Genomic DNA, 23673 nt, shown 5'->3' on the forward strand with positions numbered 1-23673 from the left:
CTAGCTAATTTTTGTATTTTTAGTAGAGACAGGTTTCACCATGTTGGCCAGGCTGGTCTCGAACTCCTGATCTCAGGCGATCCGCCTGCCTTTGTCTCCCAAAGTGCTGGGATTACAGGCATGAGCCACAGTGCCCGGCCCCATAATGTCCCTTTGAAGCAGAGGAGAATCAGTCCCTTATAATCCTCATTATATAAAAAGAAGAAACGAGCATAGAGTGGGAGGTAGGCGGATAAGCTGACTTGCCCAAGATCACCCTGTCGATTGATCTGACTTCATCTGCAACCAGCCACATAGCTTCTCCAAAGCAGGTCGCCAGACAAGGAAAAGTGATTGGGGGTTCAAATAAAACAAATGACTACTCATGCTATAGTTAGCACGATGTGCTGTTCTGAACTCTGCTGTGGAACACCTGTTGCACTTTTTATACTATTCACATACATTACCTGGAATACTCCAGTTTTCAACATTGTCTGCTTCAGTCCCTTAAACCATAGAAGTATCCAGACATGCCAATATCATGAGAACCAAACTATACCTTAAACTGTTTTTCCTGTTGAGGAATATGAAAGAACTCTTCATTGTAGCACAGATCCCAATTTTTGGTGGAATATAGTCACCACAATTTTCATTGTCAATAAATATTGCTGGCTAATTCAGAGGTGACCTGTGGAAGCAACACGTGCTCTAAGAACTCCTGTTTCCACTGTCTGGTATTATTAGTGTGTCCTTACTTAGACTTAGCTCTCCCAGAGAGAGAGCCATCTGCTTCTCTCATTGCACAGTGACTGTGCAATGGTGTTGACTTCTAGAGAAGAGTAGCCCAAGAGCTAAATATTAGAGGTCTTATTGCTTCCCTTAAGTGCATGGCAAGAGAAAGGAAAGCAAGGTGAGAAAAGGACTGACTTGCTTTGCCAATGGCCCAGGACTGGTGATTTTATAAGGTTTAGCACAAAAACCACTCTTTTGAACTAGATACTGTGTATATCCTGTGTACTTCAAGTCACACCAGCATTCCCTACAACAGAGCTTAGGAATGCTATTTATCTTGTACTCAGGCCAACTGTGTGGCTCTCTACCGAACAGCTGGTTCCCCATCCACCTCTAGGACTATCTAGTTGATGTATAAACAATATTTTTGCCTCAAAAACGCTAACCCCATGGAAACTAACTGTTCATCCACACACACACACACACACACACACACGCACACATACACACACGAAGGAAAAGAAAGATGGGGTTAATTAGGTCAGAAGCAGGAGGAAAAGACAAAACAGGGGGAGCTTGGGGTTTGTAACTGAGATGTGGCATGCATTAGATTTGAAGTCAGGTTACTGAAGCCCCAGATTATGTTCCAAGGTCTAAACAGAACGTCCATTGAGTCTTTGATTCCTAAAGACATTTAGTGCCTTATAAAAGAGCTTAGCTATATCATTATTCCTGATTACCTTAGAAGTAAAACGATATTTTTAAAGTGTTTAGTATTTGTATTCCTCTAGGCTGAATTAGTGAACCACAAGAGACCCAATTTATAGCCACAAAATGAGGATCCAGTGTGGGTCACTGTCTACACACTTCTTGGTAAACACCAGTGTTTCACAATCTATTTTTCGTTATTTCTTTTTATCTTTTAAGAGACAGGGTCTCATTCTGTCACCCAGGCTGGAGTGCAGTGGTGCGATCATAGCTCACTGCAGCCTTGAACTCCTGGGCTCAGGTGATTCTTCCTCCTAAGCCTCCCCAGTAGCTGGGATTATAGGTGCATGCCACTATACACAGCTAACTTGTTTATTTTGTTTTTGTAGAGACAGGATCTCACTGTTTTCCAGGCTGGTATGAACTCCTGGCCTCAAGCAATCCTCCTGCCTCAGCTTCTGAAAATGTTGAGATTACAGGTGTGAGCCACTGCACCTTATTTTTTGTTAATTATATTACTACACACGTTCAGTTCTTTATGGATGAGACACTTCTTACCAGATAACCAATCAGCTAGGGTTACCAAATTGGTAGTTATCATATCCTAAAATTTAGGCTATCATTTTTCTTGGATCAATGACTTTCTATCTCCTTCAGAGCCTTACTTTACCCATCTACCCTAATCTCTTATAATCAGGAGAGCCCTGACTACATATAGACTGTGTATTTGTGTTTCTTCCCAAGATGGAAAAAGTATAACTATTACACACATTGCTTTGTACATCAGCCAAGGAGGTGGTCTTACACATTCTAATAAAAGGGTTTGTGTATTCAACTTAATAGCTAAAACATTACCAATAATAATATATATGTGTACTCTTCCTTGATCAACCTGTTCCTTAAAGTTAGATTTTTAAACAAATCCCTTCTGGGTGCCAGCTTACTGCTAAATCAAGGCAAACAATTATTTCCAACATTTTGTTATCATAGTTTAAAGTAATTATTTGCTTTATTAGGATGGGAACTCTGGCTGTACCCTCTCACTCCCTGACCCCAGAATTAACACAGCATTTATTTCACAATATTTGTGCAGGGTTTACTATTGAACCAGGGGGCACACCCATGAATAATACTGATTTCTCTTGGTGGTGACCCAGCCAAAGCATGTCAAAATGAGTACCTATCTATTCTAGTAAGATAATGGAGGAAAAGAGAAGCAAGTCATCAAGATAAAGGAACACAAACTACCATATTACCTTGAAAACAAATCTAAGTATTTGTTGTGTGTGAACACATATCAGTGCTGATTGTACAAGAAACAAGGCTTTTGAGCTGGAAGGCAATTTCAAAGACAACACCTGTTTCAAAATAGGGCAAAGAGTTCACAGCTGCATTTTGAAATTTCAGTCTGCACTTCTATTTCGGGATGTTATCCACATAGGCTTAGGAGATATAAAGAGGGAACAACACAAGAAGACAGATGTGCATGAATCAAGAAATTCTATTTCCTATTTAAAATTCAGAAAAGATTGCTGCTACATACATTAGGATGTTAACTGGGTACACTGATCACAGGGCTTCGATAACCCAAGTAAGTGGCAAGGTGTTGATACACTTGCAGAATATCAACTGAGCCTAGCCGACAGTATCTAAAAATGTCCTGAGCCTAGTCTGATAGTATCTAAAAATGAGATGGGGAGAGCAAGCATTCCACTACCTATGGAGGACAAACACTGCCCTCTACTGGCAGACTGTAACTGCTATACAGTCAACATGACGAACATTTTCCTCAACAGTCACTATCATGAGACATAATCAGAAAATAAAAGCTTTTAAATAATTTGAGGCTTTGTGTCTAGGGGTCACCAGGATTTTCAAGCAAACCGAAGTATTCAATGAGAAATCTCCTTACTCATTGAAGTTTCCGACTTTCCCCATTAAATCTTTGATGTAACTCATTGGACTGGTTCAAGTATCACTGTTACTGGGAGATGTGAGAGAACAGCAAAATGCTCAAAAGCTCAATACCAGGAAGAAGGCTTAAGGGACCCATGTATACCAAAGGGAGCTGGCTTTAGAACGAACAACTGTGATAACTTAAAGCACACAGCACTGATTCAAACCCTTGTTGTACTACATACTAGCTACATCAGGTACCACATAAAACCTCATCTTACCTGAACCAGGTTATTCTTTACAATATTGGAAGAACAAACACTTGCCGATCTCACAGTTGTTGGAAAAATTAAATGAGGTAATATGTGTTGCACAACTACAGTGTAGTACTGTATACCGATGTTCATGGATAGGAGTCTAGGTAGCTCCAAGTGTGTTTTAACCTCTCTTCATCTGTTTATCCACTTGTTGGTTTTTGAAATCCTTTAAATCAGACTGCATTTCTTCAGCACTGTCCTGAAACATAAAATTGTCTATGTTATCCATAAAATACTTAAGGATTATGAGGAAAAGTAGATGGTTAATGCTCATCCAAATTCAACTTTAACCTGAGACAACTCATTATATTAAGAAATAAATGTATGTGGGCAGTGTGCCTGCACCTGTAATCTGAGCTACTGGGGGAGCTGAAGCAGGAGGATCCCTTGAGTCCAGGAATTTGAGACCAGCCCAGGCAACATAGCAAGACTCTCATATCTCCGAAAAAGAATAAAATGGCCGGGAGGGGTGGCTCACGCCTATAATCCTAGAACTTTGGGAGGCCGAGGTGGGCAGATCACTTGAGATCAGGAGTTCAAGACCAGCCTGGCCAACATAGTGAAACCCCGTCTGTACTAAAAATACAAAAATTAGCCAGGTGTGGTGGTGTATGCCTGTAATCCCAGCTACTTGGGAGGCTGAGGCAGGAGAATCACTTGAACCCGGGAGGTGGAGTTTGCAGTGAGCTGAGATCATGTCATTGCACTCCAGCCTGGGCGACAAGAGCAAGACTCCATCTCAAAAAAAAAAAAAAAAAAAAGAAAGAAAGAAATTTAAAAAGTTAGCTAGTCACTGACGGATAACAGGATGCACAAAGCATTTAATTTCAAAGCCAAATTTGCATTTCAATTATAGTATTTGGCTGACAAGGCAAGTATGTAAACAAGAGGAAAAGTTAAAAAGAAAAAAGCCCTAATAGCTACAATATCAGCCCAGTTCTAAAGAGGGATCTTGTACCACATTGTCCACCTAACAAGTAATCTTTAATTCAAAATTCAGCGTAGTTCTTATGGGTATTTGGAATTGAATGCAAGTGTGTTCTGTGAGTATAAACATTATCTTTTATTATATATGATTGTTAAACTTTGCTTTCCACAACACTTCATAACCTTGGATGTAAACATGAGAAAAAATGCTAATTAAGAATCCTTACGCACCCAGTCCAGTGCTCCCTTAATTAATCAAACTGGTAAGTCTACTGCTTCTTGATTCCATCCTGAGGTATTAACTTTTGAACCAAGACATGTTTATCTTTTACCAACAACAGGGATGGTCACTGTTAAAGTTTCTAAATAATTTATTAGGGAAATAAGTTCCCACAAAGTCAGGCTGAACTGGGAGCTGATTAACAAAGCTGTGTAAGTTAGTGTGTTTGCTTTAAGGTATTACAAGAAGTACACAGAGCACACATCTGGGTTATAAAAGCCCTTTTATAAAGCCATTTTTAAACAAAACAAAAAAAAAGTTTACAAAAGAAAAAAAGATACAGAAAAAGAATAACTTGCTTCATATGTCCCAAAAAGAGAAAAAAATAAAGGGGACAATGCCAACATGCTCAACAATAAAGGCTTCTTTTTCTTATTTTTTTAATACAAAATACAAGCAAAGGATACACATACTTAAAACAGAGCTCAGGAGCAGACACGCAGTCCTGGAAACCCTTCAATAAAAGCAAAGCAGGAGTTTGTTTTTTCTTTGTCTATGCAGATACATACAGAGACTGGGATATGTAAAAATTAAGTATCACAAAAGACCATCACACGATTCTACCAATGCATGTTGCATCTGTAATTCACGAACATGGTCAACAAAATCATGTTCACTTCAACCCCATTTCATTTAAATTAAAGAAAAAAACCTTTTAAATAAAGTGGTTACATTCAAACTTTAACTTCCTTAGTACCATGCTGCAGATTTCAGCACTGTTAAGGTATTGCAAGAATGCCCAACCCTCTGGTGTCTGATCATGTATCTAGCAACATTGCAGTATGAAGAAAAGAGATGCCCCGGTCTCAGCCCATGGACTAGTTAATACAGTGAAGCAGGTTCCTGTCTTTTACCCTTCCTGCTCAGAACATAAAAGATTAAGGACTAAAATCAAGGAAGACTGGGAGTTTTAGAGCTGGCAAAATGAAGTCTAAAAGATAAATCAAGGCAAACAATTACTGAGAACTTGGCTGTTGCTTAACCTGGCAAGTCTAAAAGCCTTTCTTTAACCTTGTAGGAATTAGATGCATAAGGTTTGCTGCAACATGTTCATGGTAAACAAACTAAGTAGAGCTCTTATTTACAAATCTTGTAACAAATACTTCTGGAGGAAAAAGAGAAAAGAATTCACTAAGTTCCAGAAGACAAAGCTTTAATTGCCAGATGTATACAAACACACACTCACACGTACACACCCACACAATACTTCAGGGGTTTTTATACATGTTATTTTAGGGCATAAGCTGAGTACTATACCCCCACACCCCATCAAAAAAGGAACAACAAAAAAATCCCAATTTTACCCTCCCCCAATAATCTAGAAAACCCTCCCTTCACCCCTGATGTACAAAGTGTATGCACAACGGTGGCATTCTACCAGCCACACAAAGCATGCTCAAACAGATGTCACCAGTTCAGTCACTCCATTGGCATGGCAACAGGCAGGTTTACGGGATGTTTCCCAATAGTGGTTATTACACAGTCAGCACCACTGTGAATTTTGTGAATTTGAAAAAAAAAAGTGTAATTTATGGATTCAGGATTCAAAAAGAATCATTTTGTATCGAATTTACCCCAGACAAAGGGAAAACTGGTTGCGACTGAAACTTGGCTATAGATAGCTTGATGTCCCAATATTCAAACAATAAGCCAACTCTCCATTTTCAAGTAAATCCAGCTTCATCCACAGAGAAACAGACAATTTTCTAACCTCAAGAGCAACCAGCTTGTTACATTTTCCCTATCCTATGGCAGGAAATGCGTATTACTTCTGTTCTGTTTAAGCATCTCAGTCTAAATGCCATGAAGACCAGAGCCCAGGTTTCTTCCTTTTCAAATTCTTAAGGTGAAAGTTTTTTCCTTTCAGTGCAGCTACCAATGATGCAGGCAAAGAACTGTTCAAGCCAGCACTCATTCTTCAAAGCTGCAACAGTGGCCACCATGATCTTTTATAAAGCTTTCCCCGTTGCTCCTGATATTTATTTCTGCTTTTGCCTAACGCTCTCAAAGCATCTCGTAAACTGAAGTTTAAAGAAAAGCACGATTCCCATCCCCAACCAGTACTTGAAAATCCACTTATCTGAATGTTCACAGATAAAAAAGCCATTAAAAAAAAGAGTCAAGTTTAGTCTAGCTGACCATATTCACAAGTGTTAAAAACTTTACTGGAGTATAACCTCAAATTTCACTCTTGATTTGTTATCTGTAAGAAAATGCTATTTGAGCCAGTACCAAATTAAGTATTAAAATGAGGATTGAACTGGGGCAAACAGGTTATTGTGAAAACAGTCAATATGTAAGCTCCTTCAAGGGAAATCAACTACTGTTCCTCAAGATTAGAAGATGTCCACACTCTTTGCATTACCTCCCTAAAGGAGGAAACACCCATTAATTTTCCCTTATGGAATCAATATGGAGTGGAAATATGAAATGAGGAGATGTTTTAGAAAGCAGGACAAATCTACCTACCATTACTGGAATTAAAATGTATCCTCTGGGCCCACTCCATTGATTCCGATCTGAGGTGAGGAGGACTAAAAGCAGCAGCAGGTTACAGAAAGACTGAATAAGATGAAAGTATGCTACGTATGTCTAGCTGGGGAAGGGGGGATCTGGAAAAAAAATCTTAAGAACTAGAATGTAGTGTCAGTCAGCATAGCTGCTGAAATCTACGTTGTAGAGGTAAACCTAGCAGAGCTAATACAAACAAGCACCTTCAAAGTTAACGTCCCACTTCCTGAGCACTGCAAAATACGACAGTGAATGCTATTGCCATTTCACCATAGGCACACTAGAGAAAAAGAGGAAGGTTAGTCAAGGATGGTGCCAATGGCCAGTCAGTATCGGCTTACAGCTTGTAATGCGTCCTGACATCACTATCAAGCCTGACTATTGAGCACCTGTATCCAGTTGAGTCACCACCACTGTCCTCCTATTTGCATGCATGATTTGAGGGGAAGACTAGAGTGTTTTAAATCATCAATAAAAAGTGGAGAAAACAAAGGTTATTCAGAGCCTGTCTCACTTGGGGACACAGATCCTTCTGTCCAGTCTATCAGAAATATAGAATACATTTTTCAATCTAATGAATTAATTTTAAAAGGGACCCTAAACAAGAAGCCCAATCAAATGCACACAAGTAATCTAGAAGACATGATTACCTCTAAAATATGTGCATATATCACAGAGATGTTAGTGCAGATTAATATATTAAAGAGACTGTTAAACAACTGAGGCTGAAGTTTTAAAAGAGCCCTCCCCCCAAATCTTCACGAAACATAACCTAAGAAAAGCCCAAATGTTACTAGGAATGTAAGACTTAAAATTATAAACTCCTAAAAAATAGAAGTGCATGGTGGAAACACTGATAGGTCTTTTACTATATGAACACAAACTTCTTTGTTAAAAATGGATACCTGAACAAACCCATTTAGGCAAATAGATTAATCTTTAACACCCTCATTACAAAGTTCACACCTCTGAATTTAACCGTCATGAAAGAGAATGATCCAACTGCTATTTATGTTCAAGTCCTGTATTTTTGGCCATGTAACTGAAAACTCCTTATTCATTCTTTAACACACAGTGCAATAGTGAAATGACTCTGCCACTGTGTGTTTTTTAAAAAAAGATCAGAGTAAGCATGTTCCTAGTAAACCACAAAGTAGGATATTGAGGAAGCAAATCTAGATTAAAAGGCAGGAAAAAAAGGCAGAAGTTTAAATTTCACTAATTTTTCAATTTATTAGCATACCAGGACCCTTTAAACCTTGTTCCCATTAGCGCCTGGTATTAGATGTGAAGGATCAAACCTACGGATCTATCTCCTGACTGCTTTTATAAGGCGTGTAAAAGTCGGTTTTCAACTGCACACAGGCCTCCTAAAATGCCTTGTTTCTCTAGTCCCTCCTGCTTTAAGCAGCATGAGCAGTAAAGCAGGGGTTGGACCAAATAAAAAGACAAGAGCTAACTGAATTGTATGGGAGCAGCATTTAACATATTCCTAGTCAAGGACAGGATGGGAAGTAAGTGAAGAATAGGGCCAGGAAAATAGTGTCCTATAGCAGAGGTGGTTGGCACTCGGGGTAGGGTGTGCAGTGGTGCTCTACGAAGCAGCAGGATCACAGGGATGTACTTCTTATCACATTTCTATGAAGAAATGGGAAGATCGGGATATGAAAAAGAAAATGTTCTATCCCCAAATAAAAGCAGAGCATGGTTAATGGGACCTGAATGCACATTTATAGCATAAAAGAATGTCAATTCTATTTCATAAAGGAAAAATCTCAACTCTTTGTGACTGAGTTTCACATTAACTGGAACTTTATTTGCTTAAAACCTAAACATTGTCAGTTTGAAAAGAAATCCACTGTGACCTGTAGACTGATCTTGTTGATTAAATTCTAGGGTTTTTTTTTTTTTGGATTCTTGGTAAAATTTTATCCAAAAAACAGGATACATATATATTTAGAGAAGGAAATATGAAATCAAGAGTTTTGGCAGCCCCTGCTTTTTTTTTTTTTTTAGCTCCCTAAAGACTGTAGCAGGATAAAAGGATCACTGGCTCCGAGTCTCTTTGAGATAACAAGTGATGAAATAAAAAAGAAAGCCCATACCCTCAAATAAGGTCAGGTAACCCCATTGCCCACCCTCCCTACAAGGTAAAAAATGAGTACTTTTAGTAACAGTTCAGAATTCATCTTTATCTCCTACCTGCCTCATCGGTGGAAGTTTAAAGTCATGATTTTTTTTAGACATTGATACTTGTGTCTATAGACAAATAAACTCATATTAGATGACAATTGATTTTTTAAAAGTCCAGGTAGAGAAAGGAGCAATCATTTTGAACTAAAATCTTTCTATGTTTTTTGATTACTATTCAACTTGCTATTTTTTAGCAAAAAGCGAAGTTTCAATAGTGTTCATCTCAAATCTTATTGCTTTACAACCGTGGTACACCTTTCATTAAAAATAAAAAGATGAAGCAGTCAATCCAGTGATTAATTTGACATGGCTTTCATTGGGAAAGGGGAGGGCTGGCAAAGAGACCAATAGACAAAAAGGTAACTTAAACACTTACACATACAATGGTTTGCTTTAAAAAAAAAAAAAAAAAAAGAGAGAGAGAGAGAAATGTTACTTTCAACAAATGGAAAAAAGCACTGAAAGCCCATGAGTCAAGCCATAGCCAAAACCATGTTCTATCTTAAGTAGGTTCTTTTTTTTCCTCCCTCTTTTTTCTTTTTTTTTCTTTTTTTTTTTAATAAAATCTCTCCCCAGACCATCATCACTTTTAATCCTCCCCAGAAGGGGCTTCATCTTCAGACCCTTCATCCCCAGATTTCTCGGGTGGGGGGCTTGTAGATGTTTTCTTTTCTGGCGGGCTTTCCGGTTCCTCATCTTCTTCTTTGGGAGAAGGAGTCTTTTCCTTTGATGCCTTTGAAGCTGTGGGGCGACCCACTTTCCCTTTGCCTTTCACTGGACTTGGCGTCACTGAAAATAGAAAAATAATTTGGGGAAGGGAAGAGAAAAAAATGTCTTTAATAAAAGTCAGCTACAAAATACAACAATCTGTAAGAATAAAATCTATAAAGACAATATGCAACTTACTAAAAACCAAGGTGGGCACAAGGGAGCACATATATCCCTAGGTAAATCTATCTCAGTTTCTAAACTGGTCATAAGTTACTACACTATGCTACAGTATTTCCCATCAGTTTTTACCAACACTCTATGATGTTAGCAGTAATACCTGTAAAGAAGAAGCACCATGCTATAGAATATGCACAACATCCTTAATTGCTTGGTAAACTAACAGTTGTTTATGATAAAAGTTGTTTATAAAAAGCAGGTCAAAAAGACGGAAGGAAAAGAATTAATCTGATCAGAAACTAAAGCCATCAAATAACATTTGATAGTTCCATCATTCCTAACAGTAGGAAGTGATAAACAGAAGTTTAACAATGACTAGTTCTACCTAACAGAATAAAACCACCTACACAAAAAGCAAATTGATTTCTGATTTAGTTAACAAACTAGCTCCAACGAGGAGAAACCATTAGGGCTCAGAAAAAAATCAACTCATGTCATCAAGTGTGGTTTTATTCTGATAGCACAGAGGATGGGGTAGAGTTCAGAACGTGGAACTTAAACGTATTACTCTAGGTTTGTGCATTTTCACAATTAAGTCTTTGCTGGCTGCTGAGACTGTGATACCAGTGAGGAAAAAAGAGCAGTAACAACTATGATGACACAGTGTTTCTACCACTGTGTCTGAAACAAATAGATCATTCTGAAATCTTGCTCAAGTACTGGCAGTAGTTGAAGAACATGGCTAAGCCCACTAGACTCTTAAACAGGCTAGTGTCTTTATTAATAAGAGATACTTCCAGTTGCAGAATACAAGACCCTTTTAGATTTCTTGTATTCCTGCTAAACATCAGGCCAATGCCAAATCCTAATGAGGAATTTCTGTATTGAAAATAATGATTCTCAAAATTTTTAAAGCAGTAAATTTAATTTCACTTCTGCAGAAATTACCTGTAGCCTTTAGTCTGGGTTTGGGCATTTTCTTTTCTTTTCTTTCAGGTTTGGACTTCTTAACCATCTTTTTGTTTTTCTTTTTCGAACTGCCATAGTCACTATCGTCATCATCTTCCATTAGGAAATCTTCATCGCTGCCGGAATCTTCTGAGAAGAAAGAAGAATTTCAACATCTAACTTAATGTACACATCCTTCCAAGTAAAAAAGGAAGAGAGTGCTAAGAATGACTAGAGGATGGGATTTGGGAGTCAAACACCCTTGGATTCTATTTGGAGCTGTACTACCAATTTGACTGGAGTCATCACTGGCCTCATTTGTCAAATGGATTTTGCATGCACCTTACATGAGAGAGTTACATGAGTGATGTGTTTGAAAAGTAGATTGAAAACAGGAAGGGTAAGAGTTAATCTGAATAAAAACTGAAACTATCAAATAACTTTTGGTAGTTCCATCACTTCCAAGTAGTACTGGTTGAGACCAGGGAAACAAAACTGAACTGACAGGGCCTTTTTGGTCCAATTATGAATAAGTGAAACAAGAAAACCAAACACAAAACAAAAATACATAGGATTAACTAATCTGAATAACCTGTGAAACACCTAAATTTTATTATTAACATGTTTTTTTCTGTGAAAAGAGGTCTACAACCTCCTCCACCAGGGCAAAATACAAATCTCAATCACAATGCCTAATGTGACTGTTACTTAAGCAAATTGTTCATTCAGTGTTTGAACACAGACATCATTAAATAAAGGGTGCAACCATTACAAATGGTGGGCAATCGTGAGAATCTCTGAACCTTTAAAAATATTAACAGGAACCAATACAGTCATCTCTTTTAACACGGAGTATCTACCCAATTTAAGGGACTGGTTGTAACATTTAGCATCCTAGAAAATGCCAAAGTAACCAAGGTCACAAACTACAATTATGACCAAACAACCAAAGTACACAAAACAACTTCACATACTCTCCTGGAATGGTGCCTCATCCTCCTCTTCTTGTTCTTCCTCACTGCCCACATCTTCCATGAGCATCTCTCTCTGTTTAGAAGCTGCTTTAGATGCCGCCTGCCGTTGTTGGCGCACATTTTTATGATCTTCTTTTTCATCTTCACTATCCTCTGCAATATCAGAATTACCATGATATAATGATTAAAGAATTTTATATTTGACAAGATAGTGCAAAAGATTAATAATTGACTGAAAACATAACTGACTGAAAAGGCCAACACAGTGGCCAATATAGGATATAATCTGCAGCTTTATTTCATTGTAAAAGGGCAAATTCTATCCTTCAACATTTCTGCAAAATGATGGAATCAACTCAAATGCCCATCAATGATAGACTGGATAAAGAAAATGTGGTACATACACACCATGGAATACTATGCAGCCATAAAAAGGGAAGGAGATCATGCTCTTTGCAGGGACATGGATGGAGCTGGAGGCCATTATCCTCAGCAAACTAATGCAGGCACAAAAGACCAAACACTGCCATGTTCTCGCTTATAAGTGGGAGCTGAACAATGAGAACACATGGACACAGGGAGGGGAACAACACACACTGGGGCCTGTGGCGAGGGAGGGGGCAGGGTGGGGGGATGGAGAGGGAGAGCATTAAAAATTAGCTAATGCATGCTGGGCTTAATACCTAGGTGATGGGTTGATGGGTGCAGCAAATCACCATGGCACACATTTACGTATGTAACAAACCTGCACATCCTGCACATGTATCCCACAACATAAAAAAAAAAAAAATTCTACAAAATGTATAAAGGGGACCTAAATTCACAAAGAATGAACTTGGACAAGACTATGTAACCACTATTACATATAAAGTAACAAGGGAATGTAATTTTAAGCAGTAGACAAGCTGAATTAAAGCGTGAATACATGACTCCTATACTTTAAAGTTACATCATTGCTTTGCTCTACAATTCTCAATTACATTCAAATCTATGTTCACTGTTTTTGAAAGCTAAAGTTAGAAAAATATCTTAACATAGTATGAGAGAGAAAGAATGTCTTCCAATAATCTTTATTCTAAGACATAAAACACGAAAACCCTAAAATAATGTCAAACTGTTACCCTTTACAATGAATGGCTTGTGACCATTTCAATTTAGAGGGGATTGTGGAAAACCTTTTTTTTTTTTTTGAGATGGAGTTTTGCTCTTGTTGCCCAGGCTGGAGTGCAATATAGCGCAATCTCGCCTCACTGCAACCTCACCTCCCAGGTTCAAGCGATTCTCCTGCCTCACCCTCCCGAGTAGCTGGGATTACAGGTGCGCACCACCACTCCTGGCTAATTTTGTATTTTTAGTAGAGACAGGGTTTCACCATGTTGGTCAGGCTGGTCTCGAACTCCCGACCTCAGGTGATCCACCCTCCTTGGCCTCCCAAAGTGCTGGAATTACAGGCGTGAGCCACTGCGCCCAGCTGGAAAATCTTTAAAATACATATTTAGATTAATTAGTGAAAGACATTTGGAGAAGCCTATAAAAAATTTACTTTCACATATTCTTAGAGTCTATTAATGAAAAAAAAATTTTTTTTTTTTTAATTTGGAGTCTCACTCTGTCGCCCAGATTGGAGTGCAGTGGTGCAATCTTGGCTCATTGCAGCCTGTGCCTCCTGGGTTCAAGCTATTCTCCTGTCTCATCCTCCCGAGTAGCTAGGACTCCAGGCACATGCAGCCATGCCCGGCTAATTTCTTGTTGTTGTTTGCTTGTTTGTTTTTTGAGATGGAGTTTTGCTCTTCTTGCTTAGGCTGGAGTACAACAGTGGGATCTCAGCTCACTGCAACCTCTGCCTCCCAGGTTCAAGTGATTCTCCTGCCTCGGCCTCCCGAGTAGCTGGGATTACAGGCACCCACCACCACACCCGGCTAATTTTTTTATTTTTAGTAGAGAAGGAGTTTTGCCATGTTGGCCAGGCTGGTCTCGAACTCCTGACCTCAGGTGATCCACCTGCCTTGGCCTCCCAAAGTGCTGGGATTACAGGCATGAGCCACCGGGCTCAGCCAAATTTTTGTATTTTTGATAGAGACAGGGTTTTGCCATGTTGGCCAGGCTGGTCTTGAACCCTTGACCTCAGGTGATCCACCCACCTTGGCCTCCCAAAGTGCTGGGATGGCGGGTGGGAGCCACCATGCTCAGCCTAAAAAAAATTTTTTTAACACACAGTTGTGTTTGTGAATAAATTTGGTTAAAGGGTAGGCTGCCAGCCTACTGCCTCTAGACTAAACCATATTTGCCTTAGTCTCTACCTACAGCCCTTTTCTGAAAACACTTCTAGTCCCATGAGCCTTGCCATAGTCAGTGTTCAAGTCATCTCTTTCACTTTTAAAAATCTCATCTAGAGACAAACAGAATAAAGCTGACATGGCCGACCCAAAACTAAACCCACTTGGTAGAAGCTTAGCTTAATACTAGTACAGAGTTATTTATCTAGAAGTGCTCAATAAACTAGCAAGTGTAAGAGATTCAAACTAGGATTTACAAGGCAAATGACTGAAAGCATATACTCTATTATCACAGGATCACCAGATAGTGCAAAAGATTAATACAGTTTCTTTTCAACTTAGGTAGCCAGATAGTATACTTGAATAGGAGGGAAAGCAAAACAGCTAAGCAGAGTGAATTTAGCAGAACTTTGTCTCTCCCCTTTGTATTAGCTAAACAGCAGTCTCATTTAAAGGGAGATCCAGGGAGACAACAGCAAGGGAATGTAGGTCAAAACTAAAGTGGCTGGAAGTAATATGGATTAAAAATCTCAATTCTTAGAAGATTAAATTTAAAAATAAATACCAACAACAAGTAGAATCATCAGGACTGAACATTTTATTTGGCCATGGAGACTCCCCATTAATTCATATTAATTTAAGTTAAAATTTTTACAAAAAAAACTTTCTCTATGGCTACTGTTACAAAAGGCTATGTCTCCACTAAAAAGAGTGGGAATGAAACTTTCATTTGCTTTTCCACCCAGAGTCCACCACTCCCCCTTTTTATGCCCCTATTTTACCAAGTTTTATATTTATATATTATTCTATTTAGTTTGATGTCTTTTGTTTACGTAAATGATTTCCAATATTGACTGTGCATAAGAATAATGTATAGATACTTAAAGAAAACCAAGCCCCAACATCCCACTTAGATCTATTTAATCAGAAATTTTGGGACAGGACCCAGAATATGCATTTTAAAAAAGATTCATAGATGACTGTAATAAGCCACCAGGACTGACAATCATTAGGAGCTCTTTGAAGATGGAAACGTCTTTGTAATCCCAGATTTGCAACAGTGCCTGGCATAGAAATCACTTATTAAAACATCTAATAAAATAATATACAAATATAATTATACCTCTTACATTTAAAATAGTTTACTACCTGCTGAGTGAGAATCATCCTTCTTGGTCTTCACATCTTTGTCTTCTGAGTCCTCACTATAAAGGGAGGCAAAAAAGCAAATGCATAAAAGTCTTAGCTCAAAATCTAAGTGAACATAGATCTCTGATTTCTGACTTGAGAAGAAGTGAAAAATACCTCTTCTATATAAAATCTTCAAACAAATGCTAAGGAGTACTTTATTTCCTTATTTACAGGGATGCTGGTGAATAAGCACAATTTTATTTACGTTACAAAACACTGCTTCCAAAGACTCAAAGGAAAAAAAGAAGCTGTCTCAACACAGGCTGGAATTTTTTCACCTATGGATAAAGCTTGGTTCACAAGAATATTTAATAAGAAAAATATTCTCGAACAGAGGCAGAGTATAAAAATACTAAAAATACATAGTGTTGATGGCAAATAAAGATCACTAAATATACACAAGAAAAACTGCTAAAATATCTAAAATTATTAAAAGGAACTGTAGTCCGGGCGTGGTGGCTCACGCCTGTAATCTCAGCAGTTTGGGTGGCTGAGGTAGGCAGATTGCTGGAGGCCAGGAGTTCAAGACCAGCCTGGCTAACATGGTGAAACCCTGTCTCTACTAAAAATACAAATATTAGCCAGGCGTGGTGGTGCATGGTTGTAATCTCAGCTACTCGGGAGGCTGAGAGAGGAGAATCACTTGAACCCAGGAGGCAGAGGTTGCAGTGAGCTAGGATTGCACCGCTGCACTCCAGCTTGGGTGGCAGAGCAAGACTCCATCCCCACCCCCCCCAAAAAAAGGAATTGTAGTTCAGTTATCTTACCTAACTTATAATATGCCTAAAAATTTACCTAGAACAAAATGGAAAATAAATTGATTGAATTATCCCCTATTAATATTTCCTTCCAATATTTCTTTGCATCAGAAACATCAACATATAGTCCTGCCTGGTGGTACCATGAAGAAAATAAAATGAGCTCAAAATCACTCCACAAAGTAAAATAAGAAGTTAAGGAGCTTCAAAGTTCAATGGAAAGTTTTTAAAAACAATTTTTAGTTACAACCAAACACATTATGTCTTCATAAGTCTTAACTCCAGAATCTGGATTCTAGTATCCTATCTCTCTTTGTTAATTTCCATATTTTTAAAAATAGAGATGGGGTTTCACCATGTTGCCCAGGCTGGTGATGAACTCCTGAGCTCAAGTGATCCACCTGTCCTGGCATCCCAAAGTGCTGGGATTACAAGCGTGAGCCACCATATCCAGCACCTAGTAGTCTGTTTGTCATTAGTTAGTTGTATGATCTTAGGCAAATCACTTGGTATTCTTCAATGCTACAATTTTACGATTCCATGAAAAATTCTGAAGAACAAAAACCAAAAACTCGCACATAAAAACTGCCTTCAAAGCTTTCCTTTCTCAAATAGCAGGTCTTATAAATCACTTTTGGTATTCTCCATAATCTAGACCACACTCAAATGAGAAATTACTGAACCCATGATTCCTAAGCAAAGAGAATGACCAAACATATTCCTTTACTAAGCAACCTGAGTCCAAGACACTTTATAATTCTGAAACCTGTGACTGTTCTGTATAAATGTTTTTTATGCAAAATAAGCACCAAATTCATAATTCTAACACAATGATGAATTATATTATTTTTTCCAGCTCTTTTATCGAGTTTATAGACTACATTAATCTTTAAGTACCACTACAGCAAAGTTAAGTGAAGGCTGAACTTTGAAAACAGAAAAATCAACAGAGCACTGGTCTGAGAATAAATACACAAGGCATACAGATAGCAATAAAACCTGTATTTATTTCAATCCTTCCAGCACTCAGAATAATAAAATCAAATGACTGCAACAAGAAAAACTGTAAGCTAGATGTTAATTATGTCAATGAGACATTATAACATGCCACAAAGCAGGTCTTTCCTAGGAGAAATAAGATAATGAATATAATGAAAAATAGTTCTGAGTTGGGCTGCCATCTAAAACTGTTTGGCCCGGCGCGGTGGCTCATGCCTGTAATTCCAACACTTTGGGAGGCCGAGGTGGGCTGATCACGAGGTCAGGAGTTCAAGACCAGCCTAGCCAACACTGTGAAACCCCATCTCTACTAAAAATACAAAAATTAGCCAGGTGTGGTGGTGGGTGCCCATAGTCCCAGCTACTCAGGAGGCTGAGGCAAGAGAATCACTTGAACCCAGAAGGCAGAGGTTGCAGTGAGCTGAGACCATACCATTGCACTCCAGCCTGGGTGACAAGAGTGAGACTGCCTCAAAAAACAAACAAACAAACAAACAAAAAACTGTTTTAGGCCAGGCATGGTGGCTCACACTGTAATCCCTGCACTTTGGGACGCTGAGATGGGAGGATCGCTTGAGCCCAGGAGTTTGAAACTAGCCTGGGCAACATGGCGAGAGCCCATCTCTATTAAAAACAAACAACAACAACTATGTTAGACATATACCAAGAAGCTCTAGAAGACTTGTTTCCCAACAGTATAATTCTGTATTATTTTTCCTTAAAAGCACACTTCTGAAATGCTCCAGCAAAAAAAGTATTAGAGGTTGTCAACATAAATAAAACTACTAGGTAAATACATGAATTTAATAATGATTTTGGTGCTCCAAGATTCTTAGAAGAAGCAGTGAGAAATATTTCATTTATTTGAACTGCTCATTTGTAATAGTATTATTTGGAAGTGGTATAGAGCTCCAATGGTTAAACAATGTACTTTGGAGTCCAACAGACATGGTTTCATAACCTGTTTGTCCATTTGCTGGATAACTTTGGTTAAATCACAGAACCCCTCTAAGAAGTTAATATTTACCCAAATAGAGATGATGTAAGAATTAAATGATAGTGTACGTAAAACACATAATAGAGATTGTCACATAATAAACAGTAGCCATCACCATCACTATAATCACCATTATCACCAAGAAGGTCTTGTTACACCAAGTGTAACAAGTTCATGTTACATCAAGTGTGAGAGTGTGTATAACTTTACTAACAAGGCAGAAATTACAATATCCTCGTCTTGTTGTTGTTTTTTTTTCCCAAGACAGTCCTGGCTCTGTCACCTAGGCTGGAGTGCAGTGGTGCAATCATAGCTCACTGCAGCCTTGAACTCCTGGGCTCAAAGGATCCTCCTGCCTCGGACTCCTGAGTAGCTGGGACTACAGGCAAGTGCCACCATTCCCGGCCAATTTTTAAATTTTTATGTAGAGATGTGGTCTCCTTATATTGCCCAGGCTGGTCTCAAACTCCCGGGCTCAAGCGATCCTCCTACCTAGGCCTCCCAAAGTCCTGGGATTACAAGCATGAGCCACCATGTACTCCTAATATCCTGGTCTTATGAGGCAAAATTATAGTTAAAATCACAACTCATTTGTAAAACTAAGGGAAAAGAAACTCTCCAAAATGGTTAAATTATTTAAACAAAGGAGAATTGATTATGAGACAGCAAAAGGCAGCAGGCTATACAACTTAAGATTCTACAAGCTTTAGTTGTAATTAATTGTGCCAGTGATTTGTGACTGAATGAGATATATCACTTATTTTTTGTTATCACTACAATGAAAGTGTCAGTATTAACCTTAGATAACAAATTGTATACTCGAGCACAGCCTGAGATAATATGAAATATGCAAAATATTAAGTGGACAGTAAGTACTTTTCAAAAGTATATGAGATTCCAACAATTTAGAGATCAGAGACTGCTCTCATCTCAGAGTGGTAACAGTGTAAGCAGGAACAGAAAAACAATGCCTCTTACCTATCTTCCTGTGAATTCTTTCCAGATCGCCTCTTATTTTTAGCTTCTCGGGGAGATGATCGAATTTTCTTAGTGGGAGGGCCCGAATCTCTTCCATAATCTTCATCTAAACAGTGTTTTTCAAACTTAATTAACTATGATTTTTACATGTTAAAATCACCACTATATTTACTGACATAATTATCTCTCATGCTGTTTAAATGGTGAGAGGAGCAGGATTTCCCAAATAGTTTCTTTCATCTTTAAAAAACTAAATTATTTCCCAACGCAGTCCTATCACCTTCACTTCGTTTTTGCATATTACCCTCTAGTCCTTATGATATATATTTCATCTTTCTATAGCTAAACCTCTCTCATCATTTTATACCCTCCCCTTTTGATTTCAACATCTTCACACTTATTTGAAAATTATTGTAATATGGTTATATTACAAACATTTTAGGAAGTAAACACAATTACTATTACTAAGCAAATTACTTTTAAACTAAAGCATTAAATACAACATAATCTTGCACTTGAAGAAAATATCTCCAATTTCAAAAGCCCTATAAAACTAAGGAAAATGACTCTACCTTAAAAGGAAATTATTTCCAAAACTGTTTACTGCACCATTTGCACACACACACATGCACACACACACACACACGATGGCGAGATGCTGGAAGTAGTCTGGAGCGTCAGCAATTATTAAGTGGTCAGAAACATTATAAATTCCATTATGGGATATTATATAACCATTGATAGGAATTTTTCAAATACCTTTTATTAACAAGATACTCAAAATAGAAATAATAATAGTATATCACACATTAACAGATTATTCTAAGTAAATATTAAATACAAACATTTGAAACAATTCCTGACATGTAGCAAGCATTTAATAAATATTAGTGCTACATATTATTTTTTTTCTCTTCTTCATATCTTTCAGTATTTTCTAAGTCTTCCCAAAGGGCACATATTATCTTTATAAAGAAAAGTTAGAATAAAAAGAAAGAAAAAAGAATAGTAAACATACCTGGAAAGTAATGAGATTAAGGAGACAACTCTGAAAAAACCTCTTATGGCTAAGACTTAGCTATACAACACTCATTCCTTGATGAATTAGTTCATAAATATAAGTTGTTTCACAAAACAGACTCTCATCTTAGTTGCTTTATTATGTAAAAACATAATACAAGGCACAAGTTTTATTGTAGTAACAGCAGGAGATTTTTTTTCCCCTGCAAAGTGCTGGGATTCATAGGCGTGAGCCACTGCGCCTGGCTGTAGTGGATTTTTTTTTTTGAGACAGGGTCTCTTTCTGTTGCCCAGGCTGGAGTGCAGTGGCGCCATCTCGGCTCACTGCAACCTCCGCCTCCCGAGTTCAAGCGATTCTCTTGCCTCAGCCTCCAGAGTAGCTGGGATTACAGGTGCATGCCAACACTCCCGGCTAATTTTTGTATTTTTAGCAGAGATGGGGTTTCACCATGTTGGCCAGGATGGTCTGGAACTCTTGACCTCAAGTGGTCCGCCCACCTTGGCCTCCCAAAGTGCTGGGATTACAGGCATGAGCCATGGCGACTGGCTGACAGCAGGAGATATTTTAAGCAATGAACACTGTATCAGAATTACTGGACATTTAAACTTTGGACTCCAAAACCAGGTAAGAAAAAAGCTTTTTAATGTTTATTATCAATGATTTACCAAGGAAAAGTTAAAATCCATGTAAGTTCAACTTTTGCTTTGGTTGACACAGATCATGACATGGTTTTGGTAAATGATCTAAAAATAAAAAAGTAAAACTTATTCCAAAAGCATAATAAAACTATATAAGCTGGTAACCTCCACTGGTCAGTCCAACTTAAAATTTGTTGAAACCACAAAACTTACCTGCATCATCAGATTCCTGAAACTGTGAGTAATCAACAACCTTCCTATTTCTGTAGAAAGAAGAGACTCTAATTAAAATCATAAAACTGTAGGATTTTTCTAAGACATCAGAACACACATTTCTCTTTCATAAACAGAACTGAACTAGCACTTTGAAAATTATTTAATTGCTGGACGTGGTGGCTCACACCTGTAATCCCAGCACTTTGGGAGGCCAAGGCTGGTGGATCATCTGAGGTTGGGAGTTTGAGATCAGCCTAACCAACATAGAGAAACCTTGTCTCTACTAAAAACACAAAATTAGCCAAGCGTGGTGGTGCATGCCTGTAATCCCTGCTACTTGGGAAGCTGAGGTAGGAGAATCACTTGAACCCAGGGGTCAGAGGTTGTGGTGAGCCGAGATACCTCCATTGCACTCCAGCCTGGGCAACAAAAGTGAAACTCCATCTCAAAAAAAAAAAAGAAAAGAAAAAAAAAGAAAATTATTTAATTAATTTTTTGAGACAGGGTGTCACTCTGTCGCCTAGGCTGGAGAGCAGTGACACAATCATGGCTCACTGCAACCTTGACCTACTGGGCCCAAGTAATCCGCCTGCCTCAGCCTCCTGAGTAGCTGGGACTACAGACGCATGCTGGCTAATTTTTTTTCATTTTTTGTAGAGACAGGGTCTCCTGGTGTTGCCCAGGCTGGTCTCAAACTCCTGAGCTCAGGTAGTCATCCTGCCTCAGCCTCCCGAAGTGCTGGGATTACAGGCACGAGCCACTGCACCCAGCCAAAAATTATTTTTTAAAGGCCCCCACTTAAGCCTAAGTACTTAACATTCTGTTATAAGAAAGCATAGCATAAACCACAAGTATGTCAAGCTACAATTCTCATACTGCTCATCTCAGTGATAATTCAAATACCATTCTTTTCTCTCTCTTTTTTTTTTTTTGAGATGAAGTCTTGCCCTGTCGCCCAGGCTAGAGTGCAATGGCGAGATCTTGGCTCACTGCAACCTCTGCCTCCCAAGTTCAAGCGATTCTCCTGCTTCAGCCTCCCGAGTAGCTGAGATTACAGGCGTGTGCCACCACGCCTGGCTAATATTTGTATCTTTAGTAGAGACGGGGTTTCACCATGTTGGCCAGGCTGGTCTCCCCTGATCTCGTGATCCGCCCGTCTTGGCCTCCCAAAGTGCTGGGATTACAGGCGTGAGCCACCGTGCCCGGTCTCAAATACCATTCTTTTCTACAAAACAATCTCCCGTCTCTCAAAACAAATATACATAAAACAGCAAAATGAGCCAAATCACCATGTACCTATGTATTCATTATATACAAAGATGCCCTATTTATAAGCTAAAGTTGTAAATGATATTTTACTCTTACTGCTACACACATATATATGTATACTTGATAAACAAGGTTATTACTAAGCTTTTCAAGGCAAAAGCAATTTTTAGGTATAGTACAGTTACATTATAATGCACAAAAATTATGGTAATGTTAAGCTTTATACAGAAGGGGAAGGAAACAAATTAATTGGTCCAGTCAAAAGATGCTTTATTTAAAAAACTATGAAAGCCTCACAGATTTATGTACATCTATGTATTTGACTCTATTCTTTTGTTTCTAAACTTTTTTTTTCCTTTTCCAATTTTACAGACCTGGTTTATCAGCAACATTTATAAAACTAGACCTCAGGAAAGAACTAGTTCTGGGGATATATGCATGGTCTTAATAAAGTGAATGGTTAGCCTGTCCTGACTATTACAAAATCAAAACAGTGAGAATATCTGCAGAATCTATTTGACTCTAAATGACTTTAAGTACTCCCTATCAAGTAACGTATCTTTAACATCTCAAACAAATCTTCATTTCTATTTTTGTACTCTGCACTCTAAATCTAAAAGTTTAATACTTCTTCTCTAGAGATATACATGTAAGCTTCCATGTTAGTACCCAAACAGCCTACCTGGCAAAAGAGCCTTAGATTAAAAAATGCACTGTTACTGTAGGCCTAAATTGATCAAGTGAACTTAAAAAATTAAGAGAAATAGGCCAGGCGCAGTGGCTCACGCCTATAATTTCACCACTTTGGGAGGCCGAGGCGGGCAGATCACGAGGTCAGGAGATTGAGACCATCCTGGCCAACGTGGTGAAACCCCGTCTCCACTAAAAATACTAAAAAATTAGCTGGGTGTGGTGGCGGGCGCCTGTAGTCCCAGCTACTCGGGAGGCTGAGGCAGGAGAATGGCTTGAACCCGGGA

At 38.5% G+C, this 23673-nt stretch overlaps 1 protein-coding gene and 1 non-coding gene across 3 annotated transcripts in view; both read right to left on the reverse strand.

Moving 5' to 3' along the window:
• The window catches only part of NUCKS1 (nuclear casein kinase and cyclin dependent kinase substrate 1), a 37361-nt gene continuing 18362 nt past the window's right edge, over window positions 4675-23673 (reverse strand). The window contains exons 2-7 of one of the 2 annotated variants that reach the window (XM_005245453.2): window positions 21425-21474; window positions 19553-19658; window positions 15779-15834; window positions 12354-12506; window positions 11380-11526; window positions 4675-10332 (exon numbers count right to left, since the gene is read on the reverse strand). In XM_005245453.2, the coding sequence (XP_005245510.1) occupies window positions 10133-10332; window positions 11380-11526; window positions 12354-12506; window positions 15779-15834; window positions 19553-19658; window positions 21425-21474 (712 nt within the window). In that variant the 3' untranslated portion in view covers window positions 4675-10132. Of the gene's footprint in view, window positions 10333-11379; window positions 11530-12353; window positions 12507-15778; window positions 15835-19552; window positions 19659-21424; window positions 21475-23673 lie in introns of both variants that reach the window. The other variant, NM_022731.5, reaches the window with a different exon arrangement.
• On the reverse strand, window positions 23074-23205 carry LOC124900423 (small nucleolar RNA SNORA72). The gene has a single exon (XR_007067368.1). It is a non-coding gene; the product is annotated as a small nucleolar RNA SNORA72 (small nucleolar RNA).

The sequence above is a fragment of the Homo sapiens genome, chromosome 1 (assembly GCF_000001405.40).
Source record: "Homo sapiens chromosome 1, GRCh38.p14 Primary Assembly".
NCBI lineage: Eukaryota > Metazoa > Chordata > Mammalia > Primates > Hominidae > Homo > Homo sapiens.